Source organism: Homo sapiens, chromosome 6, assembly GCF_000001405.40.
Source record: "Homo sapiens chromosome 6, GRCh38.p14 Primary Assembly".
Classification (NCBI taxonomy): Eukaryota; Metazoa; Chordata; class Mammalia; order Primates; family Hominidae; genus Homo; species Homo sapiens.
Genome location: NC_000006.12, coordinates 3,397,948 through 3,410,349, shown reverse-complemented (window position 1 = coordinate 3,410,349; position 12,402 = coordinate 3,397,948). Strand labels below are relative to the sequence as shown.

At 44.5% G+C, this 12,402-nt stretch overlaps 1 protein-coding gene across 16 annotated transcripts in view, besides 1 other annotated feature; it reads left to right on the top strand.

Moving 5' to 3' along the window:
* The window catches only part of SLC22A23 (solute carrier family 22 member 23), a 188,078-nt gene that overhangs the window by 46,701 nt on the left and 128,975 nt on the right, over positions 1-12,402 (top strand). For 13 of the 16 annotated variants that reach the window (NR_104448.2, XR_001743575.2, XR_007059328.1 and 10 more), the window contains one exon: positions 8-162. The exons of 2 other annotated variants lie outside the window; for them this stretch is intronic. Coding sequence is in view for 10 of the 14 variants with exons in the window: in NM_015482.2 (NP_056297.1) it covers positions 8-162 (155 nt within the window). In the remaining 4 variants the exon portion in view is untranslated. One more of the 16 variants, XM_047419243.1, reaches the window with a different exon arrangement.
* Positions 363-583: a silencer, noted in NCBI's record as "fragment chr6:3410001-3410221 (GRCh37/hg19 assembly coordinates)". NCBI's record gives its function as "represses an EF-1alpha promoter that drives an FKBP-Casp9 reporter gene in an ReSE screen in phorbol 12-myristate 13-acetate-treated (for megakaryocytic differentiation) K562 erythroleukemia cells {active_cell/tissue: K562(+PMA)}" and the evidence as "EXISTENCE:reporter gene assay evidence [ECO:0000049][PMID:32094911]".

The window sequence follows — 12,402 nt, the reverse complement described above, 5'->3', positions numbered from 1 at the left end:
TATGCAGGGTCGGCCGGCGGCCTGTGCTGCTGTTTTCCATCATCTTCATTCTGATCTTTGGACTGACTGTGGCACTGTCAGTGAATGTGACAATGTTCAGCACACTCAGGTTCTTTGAAGGATTTTGCCTGGCTGGAATCATTCTCACCTTGTATGCTTTACGTAAGTAGGAGCCTTCACGACTAGTCTTGAAAGAATTTAGCAAAAGTATTGTTGCCTGGGAGGTTCTGGGAAAGATACTGTGCATGCTGCTCGTGTGGGCTGGCAGTTTTGTGGAAACACAAACATTAAAGGCCTCAAGTGTTGTGAAAGAGGCTTTTCAGGTGATGCCGTGAAACATTTCACTCAATCCTGATCTCCAGCTCGGGCTCAGTGCACATCAAAGGACACGGGAGGTTGCGTAACTGCTTGGAGGAGTGGCGATCGGTTCTTTCCTGATATGGAGAGGCTTTCGGTTTTCTTCAGAATTGTCTGCATTGACATCCTGTGTGCTTCTATCTGGTGCATAATTGGGTATCCACACAGAATCCAAACTTTCCACATTCTCATGTCCACAGTTGTGTCCTTAAGTGGTCTGGAACTGAGACCTAAGCATTGGTACTGGAAAAGTAAATGACAGCATTAGCTAGTATTTGGTCTTTTTAGGAGGGTGAGACATTTCTTTCATTGATCTATCTTGTCTGTTGGCTGTATTAACTCTGCTGAATATAGTTAGGTTTCACTTATTTGTAGGTGGTGTTTGCTAGAACACAACCACACACCCATAAGGAGAAGAAGAGTTTTAGGCGTGGTTATTTTACTTATTTACTGGCTTTATACTTTTTAGTCACTTTGTGGAAAGATCTGTTGGGAATACTGTAAGATTTACCATGTATTTTGTCTTTTTCTCTTTCTTTGACCACACGCACAGGAGTCAGGTATAGATTAAGTAGCAATTTCCAGTGTGACAACATAAGAATAGTTCTAATTCTCTTAAATTTGCATATTAAAGACTTCTTTTAGATAGCTAAAATTTTTGTTCCACTAGAAATATAATCCATTCAGGACATAGTTTTATTGTCACAGGAAGGAGCAGACACAGAAAAAGGCTACCGGTATATTCTTCTAGATCCGTAGTTGGCCGTTTTGTCATCAATGTTTAACTGAATTGTAGTTTCTTAGAAATCACCTTTTCCAGTTTACTTGCATTTGTCTTAGAACCCTTGTCTCTTGGGAAGTTCTTTAGGAAGATATGCATGACAAGATGAGTGGGCCTGGGTGATGGTGTTTGGGGAACTTGTTTCTTTGAATAAATAATGCGAGTATTGGGCTTGAACCTCCCCAGGCAAAATGCCTGTGCCGTTGTCTATGGCCCTGACCCCTGACAGTCTGTGCAGAGGAACAGGTCTAAGCACTTTTCTGGAGAAGCCTCCTGGTCCTGCCCTCAGGCAATCCCTTGGCCCACATGTGTGCAAGTGCGCCGGGACCCTTGCTCTGGGCAGCCGTCCTTGTCAGGCTTCCATTCTCACAGGGGGAGGGCAGTCCAGTCCTCTCACGTGGATGGTCATAAAAGGGGACAGCTCTGCACTAGGACAAAATGGAATAGCTGTGCTTCAGGAGCTCTGCAGAGAATATAACCTCAGCCTCACCACCCCCAGGCAAGAGAGTGTTCATGGAAAATTACCTTACCGCAAAGATGGTGTATTGGTTTTATCTTGCATGCCAATTACTAATGACTGGCTGAAGCTGCCAGAGAATGGGGAGAAGACTTCTGAGGAGACTTTGGGGCTCAGCAGAAGAGAACACCTTGATCCATTAGCCATGTCTGCCAGTGTCAAGGAAGGAGGGTAGGGAAGGGCTACCTGTGTAACTGGCATTTGCCATCTGGAGAGACTATCCATGAATGAAGCCAGACCAGGAGTGAATTGTACCTGAACGGCATTGTTTCCACCTCACATATTCATAGAATTGTTTTACTGACTTGCACTGTGACATCATGCCATTGACCTCTGAAGCCAGTTGTTATATTTACTACAAAATATTATGTTGAAGATGTGTTTTCATTAGATTACATAGTGAGCTGTTTATAGCAGAAGGTTCTCTTCTACTTCAGAACCATTCAAAGAAAGTACTTACCCTAGGAGATTGCTTCCCTCCAGTCTCTTAGGCACAGAATCATATAACCCAGACACTGGCAAACTTTTTCCATGTGGGAAATTTTTCAGGCTTTGCAGGCCATATGGTCTGTCACAGTTACTCAACTCTGCCATTGTAGCCTGAAAGCAGCCATAAAGAATATGTAAATGAGCAGGTGTGGCTGTGTTCTAATAAAACTTTATTTACAGAAACAGATGGTGGGCCAAATTTGGCCAGTGGGCCATAATTTTTCAACCACTGATGTAAATATTTGTGTGTGGGCCTGATAACACAAGCTTTAAATTCTGACCTCTCTCCTAGTTTCATCTTAACTTCCCTACTTTAATGTCTGCTTTGTCCCATTTTTCTTCCTCCATAATTTGTGTTATTTTGTGTGTATCTTAGTGTGTATGTTATTTAGTGTAAGCAGCCTTAGGTTTTTTTCTGCAATAAAGCAGGGCATAAATGGTCATGTTTTCTTAGATAGGGACCACAAATTAAACAAACATCATGACAAATGCCATTGCAGTGAAAATGTCCCAAGTATCAACAAGTGATTGACCCACTGTTAGACCTAATAAAGTATTTGGGGTTACACAACTAAACTAAACCAAAGGGCTGTGAATGATGACTCGGAGTTTGTTGAGATATTTAAACAATGAAAATTTAGGAGAGTTGGTTGAGAGATGGCAAAAGAGCAAAGCTTCTGAGAGAAGAATAAAAGGAAATAAAGGGAGAATTTAAAAAGGAAATAGTCATAATGGGCAGGTGGGATTGGGGTAGGATATGGTTGGGGTGACCCATGTCTCTGCACACATGGCAGTCTTAGGAGAAGGCAGAGGCTGGTGACAAGAAGTTAAGACAGCAACTCCCAGTCAATAAAGCTGAGTCAAAAAGCGGAGTCACTGAATATCCATATTAATGTACTTGCTAGCATTTTATACACAGTAGTATTTATGCCTAGGTAATGCTTGGAAATTTGTTTTACTTGAAGAAAATTATTGATAAGCCAGGTCACAGGGTTGAAGTACTTCTTAACTCTAAAGGGAAGTTTAAAACTTTGGGACATTGATTATTTGGAAGTTACATTTGTAATGGCCCCAACTTCTTTTCTTCCTCCAACCATAAGGTTTTTATCTCACTTAATGCATCTGCTGGAAAGGCCTGTGCTTTCTCAGAACAGAACTGGATAGCATTCTTTTTTTAGTCTTGCAGGTGCTTGGCAATGTAAGTAGGGAAAGTAATGATTTTTGCAGTTTTAGTTTCTTGTATGGCTTGCCGTAAGGGTGGACTCTTCATTTTGAGAAATGCTGCTGACTTGTGGAAGTTTTCTGCTTTATTTGCAAGGCTGCTGAAGGTTTTTTTTTTCTGCTTTGGAGTTTTTCTAAAGTACATCCCAGTTAAATACTCTACACTTTACATGTTTGTTTCCCTCAAGTCGCCAAAGGGAGATGTGGTTGTGTAATTAGTACATAAAATAGAGATTACTGGCATCTTCCTAAGGAGTGTTTGCATGGAAGCAGAGTGCACATTGGCAAGAGCAAGAGAGAACAAGCCAAGCTCAATGGATTTCCCCAGCACAGTAGTGGCCTCTAAGACCTTTGTGAGCCACTGAACTAATTTCTAAATACACTTGGACTGGATCAGTGGCCTCTGGACACACATACGCACACACACACATGCGCGCACACACACACACACACACACAGGCAGTCGAAAAACTGACTTAGCAAGGCGAGGGGCACGGACCAAGAAAAGAAGCAATAGATCACATTTTCCTATTTGTTTATGAAAGTACAGTCTTATTTTCAGCCTAAAGAAATGGACACTTCTCAGCATAGGCGGACGTGATTGGTTGTGGTATGAATCCTTTTCCTAACCAGGATCCATAATATCACAGACAAGGTAATATAGCACTGTGAAGGATGTGTCTTTCTTCAAATGGAGCCATGAGAGATGGTGGTTTTTTAAGTTGATTTGATGTTGGATGTAGTAAGTCCTGTGGGAGAGAATTTTTTTAAATAAAAAATACTGTTTAAAAGTGTCTCTTCTAACTTGATCTCTACCTTTTCCCCTCTCCACTTCTAACTGCCCCCCACCAGCTACACTTTCCCAGTTTGAAATAATGAACAATACCTTTTGCTGACAGACCAAACCTTAGTTCCTGTGGGCAAATGAAGGGTTTTTTCCCCCCAACAATGAACAATTTTCTTGAAAAAGTCTCTCAAAGATGTTCTTATTGTAATAACCCTCCTTCAACCCAAACAGCCTAAATGATTGGATAAATGTTACACAAGATCAAGGAGCAACCAGGAATTTCACAGCTGACTCAGTTACTGATTACTTTGCAAAAATAGAAGCCAAGTCTTGACTTAACTGGTAATAGACTCAGAGTTTGAGTTTGCTCTGGGTGGGGTGCTGATCCCTTTTTCACATGACAGAAGTGATTGAGTAATTTCTAATGTGCTGGTGTTGGATGGCTTTTTCTTTCTCACTATCCCATATATTTTTACACTTTGATATTTCCCTGAACTAATATTCCTTGCAACTTATTTCAGTCAACAGGATCTTTAAGCATCAGCACTATGCTATATATGTAAAAAAAAAAAAAAAAAATTTGACTGAGCCAAATGGCTCCACAGAGTGAGTTGTCAAAGTGTGGAATGAAGAGAATGGAGATTGCCGATGTCAACTAGAAATGGCTTCAGCTACCTTGTGGGCTTCTGGGGAGCAAACATTTGCTCTGCATTTGGGTGAAGGGAAAGTTTCGCATGAATACGTGCTCGGTCGTCTCTTTGTCTCCACCCGGTTTCCCCATCTTCAGATACGTGGGCCTTCCCAGTAGCAGCAAGTTCTCAGGGCAAAAAGCCCTTCTCCTGGTGGGACCAACTCCACTCACAAGGCTATTTCCACCAAGGAAATGAGTCAGAGTTTACCGAAGGCCTTTGACAAACTTTTTTTTTTTTTAAATTTTTTGAGACAGTCTCGCACTGTCGCCTGGGCTGGTGTGCAGTGGTGCCATCTCAGCTCGCTACAACCTCCGCCCCCCAGGTTCAAGTGATTCTCCTGCCTCACCCTCCCAAGTAGCTAGGATTACAGGCACCCACCACCACATCCAACTAATTTTTTTGTATTTTTAGTAGAGACAGGGTTTCACTATGTTGGCCAGGCTGGTCTCGATCTCCTGACCTCGTGATCCGCCCGCCTCGGCCTCCCAAAGTGCCAGGATTACAGGCATGAGCCACCGCACCTGGCCGACAAATCTTTTTTTTTTTTTAAGCTTCAAAGGAATTTTGATTTTACTGAGGTTCAGATGGGCACAACAGGGAAATCGGAGCAGATTGAGGTCTCTCCATTGGTCATTTTCTTCACTGGAAACACATTACTAACCCTGCGGGCAAACTGCGAAAAGCAAAGGAGTAAATTTCTAAGCAAAAAGTAACAGGGCATTTGCTCTGTACCCCACTGTCTTCCCTTATCCCACCTCTGAGCAGTCAGAGCTTCTGGGCTCACTGCAGGGTAAGTAAGAATAGAAGCATCTGGTGAGGCAGTTCCAACCCCTGGGAAGGCGAGAATGCTGTGGTGGCCAGTTAGGCAGGGCCACTGGTCATGGGTCAGAGCCTGGAGGGGTGAGCCATCCAGCAGGGAGCCACAACATGCCACTGAAGACTGATTTTTCTCAAAATTGTGCCAGTCCTTCAAATAAAAATTTACTCAGGCCTTTCTCTCTATCTCTACCTATATGTTCGCCAAAACCTGGACTTTTCTTTCTATAGACATTTCTCTGGAAAAAATGCAAATGTCTCTAGGGCATGTAAGGATATATCATCTCACCTGCATATTAAAAATGGAAATGTGAGGACAGAGAAAGAATAAGCGGCCAGTGGCATCACTGAGACCCATCTGCCCAGTCTTCTGTCCAGAAGTCTGTGCAAGAAAACATGTAGCTATTGCCTAAATGTACAGATAGGCTTTCCAGTGCATATATCTTTTGGTGTTTTGAATTTGGTGAAGGTAGATCTATGTCCAAATCAGAGGAAAATAGTAGCAAATACTCGGAGATATCTGGGCATTTTAAAATTAGAGTATTTGGATGCTTTTCCACACAGGGGAGGCTGTTCTTAAACTGTGCGTCAAAACCTTACGGACTAGGTTTTTTCCAGACTGGAATTTCAGTAGTGTGTCTGTGCTTCATTTGAAACAAAGCTGTTCACTACTCTAAAAGGGGAACTGAAAAGATCTGAAAATCAGGAGATCTGAGCTGGATTGCAGACTCCACAGTTGACTGACGGTGACCGTGACAGATTGTGAGATCTCTCTGAGCTTGTGTCTCCCTCTCTATAAAGTAAGGGATGAGATTTAAACCAAGTTTTGTGTAGCTGTGCGATCGCTTCCTGGGATAACTCGTGGAGAAAATGAATGGAAAACAAAACAAATGGAAAACTATTGAGCTTCAACGTAACTTCCAGTTTTAGAATTCTATGGCTTTTGAATTCTTAGCCATTAGCCTCCTTCAGTGTTGAAGATTTCTTGGGGTGGGAGTGGGGGCAGTGAAACCAGGGGTGCTTCCTCTTACCCCCCTAGATGTGCCAGTCTCAAGTCCACACTAGTACCTAGTGTTGTTGGACTTCCATCCTTCCTCGCTGTGTGGCTGCTGCGCCAGTGCCGATCTATAAAGTGAGCTGGGAAGAGATGCTGTGATAGGGTAAGATTAATGGTTAACAGCTTCCCTTTCCCCAGGGTTCCAGACCCTGCCCTCATGTCAACAACCTTGCCCTTGCTGGCCCCTGCTGGAAATCCTTTCCTGCTTGCTCCATTCGCCTCTCTTACCACATGTTTGCTGGCTGGAATCCTATTACACTCCCTGGGAGTTTTTTTTTTTTCCACACCTGGACAGACAGGATGGGACCTGAAGCTAAAAGCTGAGTCGACCAGAAAAAATTGTTCAGGAGTGTAAGAGAGCAATACTGGGCTGACTTTGTTTTGTTTTATGTTCTTAAAAGCAAATTAAAAGAGGAAATAAATCAGTCACCTTGAAAACAAGTAAAAAAAAAAAAAGCAAAACATTAGGCTTCTTGAAAACATCCAAATGTATCTAGTGGGAAGCAAAATCATTACTGGTTTGCCAAGACTTGCTGTTATTGAAAAGACAGACTCTTGGCTGAGAGCACAGAGAGAAATATAACTCAAATGGTGCAGAGCCATGAAAGTTTGTTGTCAACAACTGTTTCTCAAATCAGCGCATCCTGCCAGATAGGCTCTGCTACAAAGAGTTTAAGTTTTAGTTTTTCATGACCTGCCCGGAAGCACAATTTTCTCCTTTGCTCATTTGCTCCATGAACATGTGAGGACCTGTCGGGTGCCAGGGGATGGACAGTTGGTTCCTTGATTACATACTAAACCCTTGCCATTGTTGAGTGTTGAGGACATAGAGGCAAGTACGTGCTCCTGCCCTCTAGCGCACTCAGAGTTTAGTGAGTGAAGAGGCAGAGACACACCCTGCTGGGACAGTGAGCACCAGAGGAGACTCCTGAGCTGTGAGTTCTGTGGGGTCAGGGAGAATAGGTGTTTGCTATTTGCAGTGGGTGCTTAGATCCTAGAAGAGCCTAGTGTACTCTGGGTAGTATAGGTGATTGGGGTTGGCTGGAGCCTAGTGCACTCTGGGTAGTGTGGATGATTGGAGTGGGCTGCAGCCTAGTGCACTCTGTGTAGTGTGGATGATTGGGGTTGGCTGGGGCCTAGTGCACTCTGGGTAGTGTGGGTGATTAGGGCTTAGCTAGAGCCTAGTGCACTCTGGGTAGTGTTGGTGATTGGGGTCGGAATCTAAATTATGAATAACAAAGCCAAGGAAGGAGGATGGAACAACACACACAGACCTATCCTCCATGACCTTAAGGTAGTGGCAGGCCACTGAAGGATCTCAATTGAGAAAGATAAGCCTTAGATGCATGTTTTGGAGAAATGTCTCAGGCTGCAGTGTGAGCAGGCCAAAGAGGAAAAGAAGGCCAAGCTAGGAGCTGGGAGGCTGCTGTGGTAGTGAGGCGAGGAAGAAGAGCCCGAATGAGGGCCATGGCCATGGGGCAGGAGAGACACTGAGGATGCAGAATCACAGCCTCAATGACTGAGGAATGGGGAGAAGGGTGAAGGAGGGCCAGGGGACTTGCCTGGATACCTGGAGAGGGGATTTTTCTCTGAATGGTGATAAAAGGGATTCAGCCCAAGCATTCTACTCTGATTCCAAATCCTGTAGAGTCTGAAGCTACCGACCACTCCCTTCCTCCCATGAGTCTGACAGGGGAAGATGATGACCTCTGTTTCAGACCTGGTAAGCTGATGGAGACTTAGGGCATCTGAGAGGATTGATTTGCCAGGAGATTTGTTATTCAGAAGTTCAGGAGCAAGGCCCCCGTGTCCTCAGGATGAAGGTAGCAACTAAAGGTTACCAGAGCTGAGCTCACCCAGGGGCTCTGTAGCTGAGCAACAAATGGGTGGAGGTAGAAGAACCAGTGGAGAGAGACAGGGAGGAACCGACTGTGTGGTCAGTGGAGAGTCAGACCAGGCTGGTTACCAGGGAGCCAAGGAAGGGGCTGACAGCAGAGTCAAGTGATGCAGGACATTGAAAAATGTCCTTTGGGCATAGCAAAGATTGCCCAGTAGGTCAGAGGTAAGTGTGGCAAAGCAACTTTAATTCCATGTAGTGATTAATGTAATGTGAATTATTTCGAGCATAGGTTTTAATTTATGTATGCCTCAGAGAAGCACTGTCTTGTCCTATGCCAAGTATTTTAGAAAGAAAGTTATATTTTTTTTTTACTGTGGCAAAATATACATTACATACAGTTTACCATTTCAGCCTTTTTTGTTTTGTGTTTTGTTTTTTGTTTTTGTTTTTGTTTTGAGATGGAATCTCACTCTGTTGCCCAGGCTAGAGTGCAGCGGCACAATCTCGGCTCACTACAACCTCCATCTCCCAGGTTCAAGCGATTCTCCCGCCTCAGCCTCCCAAGTGACTGGGACTACAGGCGCCACCACGCCCGGCTAATTTTTGTATTTTTAGTAGAGACGGGGTTTTGCCATGTTGGCCAGGCTGGTCTCAAACTCCTTACCTCAAGTGATCCACCCACCTCGGCCTCCCGAAGTGCTGGGATTACAGGCATGAGCCACCATGCCTGTCCCATTGCAGCCATTTTTAAGTGTGCACAATTTAGTGATATATTTCCATTGTTGTGCAAGACAATGTTTTTTAGAGTGTTAGATGTTCATTATTATTGAGCAGAAAAAAATGGAATTGGAAGGCAAGTCGGTAATGCCTATTTTTGCTTAAAGTCACCTGAAACATGATATTCCCGTGACTCAATAACTGGATATTCAGTTACATTTAGTACAATTGAGTTGAGTTAGAGATGCAGTTTTGTTCTGATGTTCCAGTGTCCATACTGAAAGGCAGTGTGTGAAGACTTGCCATATCCCCACCCTCTTTCTCATCAACACACACCCAAGTGCACACACGTGCGTGTGATCACACGGAAACAGTTGAGAAGATGCTTGGGTGGAATCCAGGCTTGGATTGGAAGCCAAGCCCCCCACTTGCCAGTTGTGACCTTTAACAAGGTAGCTGACTACTCAAAGTCAGTTTCCTCACCTAGGAAAGATTGGGCAGGTGGCTGACCAGATGAACGTGATTGTCATCTGTAAAACCATGAAGTTCCAGGGAAGTGTTGGTGGACATTTGCATGTTTGTGACGTGATGGCCACCATCCTACTGCAAGCACCAGAGCTGCCCTGAGATACCATCCTACTGCAAGCACCATTACTGCCCTGAAATAATCGGCCCTTTCCTCTTCCACGAGGCCCACTCATGTGAGGGAATCTCTGGGCTCGCAGCAAGCTTGGGAACTTTGGACTGTGGCTGTCTGGTAGCTTAGAATAGCAGAATAACTGGTGGGTGGGGGCAAGAATCTGCTTCATAATTGTTTTTCCAGTGGTCAGCTTAATAAATTACCTCTCTTATAGCATCCATTCAGAGCTTTTAAAATTCATTTTAAAATGCAATCATGGGCGGGGCGCGGTGGCTCATGCCTGTAATCCCAGCACTTTGGGAGGCCGAGGCGGGTGGATCACTTGAGGTCAGGAGTTCGAGACCAGCCTGACCAACATGGTGAAACCCCATCTCTATTAAATGCAAAAAATTAGCCAGGCATGGTGGTGCATGCCTGTAATCCCAGCTACTTGGAAGGCTGAGGCAGGAGAATCGCTTGAACCTGGGAGGCGGAGGTTGCAGTGAGCTGAGATTGTGCCATTGCACTCCAGCCTGGGCAACAAGAGCAAAACTCCGTCTCAAAAAAATAAATGCAATCATATATTGCATTTTGAAAGTCTTAACCACTTCAGGGGTAGGAGAGGACAATAAACTCAAGAAAAAATTCTCCTGGACAGATCATTCCTAGGGCTCTTCTATCGACTCCCTGAGTATCCATCACTCACAGAATGCTTCATTAATTGGTAAGAAAACCCACTGAAGAAATAGAATAGTGGTACTCATTTTCAAGATTTATCTTATCTGTATGCAACCTCTCCCTTTCCCTTCCTTGTATTAATCCCTAAAAACGCCTGTAAACATTTTGTTCATATTGTTAAATATTAACTCAGGACGTTGCTCATTATCCGTAACACAGCTATAGGCTTGGCCCTGTTGTTTGCCATGTTCTGCCATAAAGTTTCACTGCCTTCCTTCTGGAGGGGCGGATGGCAGTTCCTGTTTGCGATGTGGCTGTGTGAGAATGTGTGTTTTCAGGATGGACATGAATGGCTGCTTGAGGAAGGGCATGACTTTGAATAACACATGGTTCATTTTTTATTGTATTTTCAAATGGCTCTTCTGGGGGAAAAACAGTTCAGGAACCACATTCCGATTGCTGGCCCAAAATCCATGTAAGACTTAGAAAATATTTGGGGTGAAATGATGGGCAGTGCCTTGTTTTGCACATTTTATGATGTGAGTTCGTGGTCCCCTCTGAAGAGGCGTTTCCTCTGCATGGTGAACAACTTCCCAAGTCCAGCCGCCAGGCCTGTAGGAACCCACCTCCCACTGGCCCAGACTCTGGAAGCAGGGCCTTGCTGGTGATTCTCTAAATGGTGAAGTCAGACTCAGGGGCCTTCTGAGTGTTTTTCGTTTTTTCGGTTTTATTATTTTATTTTATTTTTAAGAGTCAGAGTCTTGCTCTGTTGCCCAGGCTGGAGTGCAGTGGTGCGGTCACAGCTGACCGAAGTCTCGACCTCCTGGCCTCAAAGGATCTTCCCGCCTCAGCCTCCTGAGTATCAGAGACCACAGGCATGCACCACCGTGCCTGGCTACTTTTTAAATTTTTTGTAGAGATGAGGTCTCACGATGTTGCTCAGGCTGGTCTTGAACTCCTGGATAAAGCAGTTCTCCCATCTCGGCCTCCCAAAGTGCTGGGATTACAGGTATGAGCCACCACATCTAGTCCTGGGTGTTTTCAAAGCTAAGACCTCTACCCCACTAGAAACCAACGTCAAGGAGCCTGAGGAGGCAGGGAGGGTTGCAGCTGGGGTGAGATGCTCTTGGGCGAAGCTGCAGGGCCTCCACTTCAGGGCAGTGTTCCCAGGTGACAGAGTGGGACAGCTCAGAGGGCCTCTGAATCTCCTGCACAGAACACCGAGACCAGAAAATGGGTCTCTGATTAAGGGCTGTTATTTTCTTTTCGTTTTTCCTTCCACAGGGCTTTTGATGATTCTTGTAAAAAAAAAAAAAAAAAAAAATAGTGCTTTGTATCCAAGCAGAGTTGGCTCTGCCTGCTCCTGTTTGCTGGCTGAGAGGTGCTTGCGTCCTTTCTAACCTCTGCCTTTTGAAAGCATGTCTTGCTTGTTATTTGCTTTGTGTGAGTTCTGGGAAAAGGCTCAGAACTCCCTCCAAACCAAAGTCAGATTATCAGGGTTGGGGGTAGGGTTAGGAATTAAGGGCTATTTACTTCTAGTTCATTTCCCCATCCATATCAGTTTTAAATAGTAAATACATTTTGCTAAGTTCCTGTGGGGCTTAGAGTTTTTCACTATTTCTTCCTTGGCATCAGTTTAATATGTCGAACTGGCATTGCTAAGTGTGCAAGGCTCCCAGGGTGAACAAGGACTCTGAGATGGAGAAGAATGCAAGGGAAAATATGATTTCTCCTCTTTGGTAAATAGTACTGGCTGCTTTGTGTTAGGGTGGGGTCATGTGACTACCCTCACTACATGGGAAGTGTTTGCTGGGAGGCCCCAGGGCCCCCC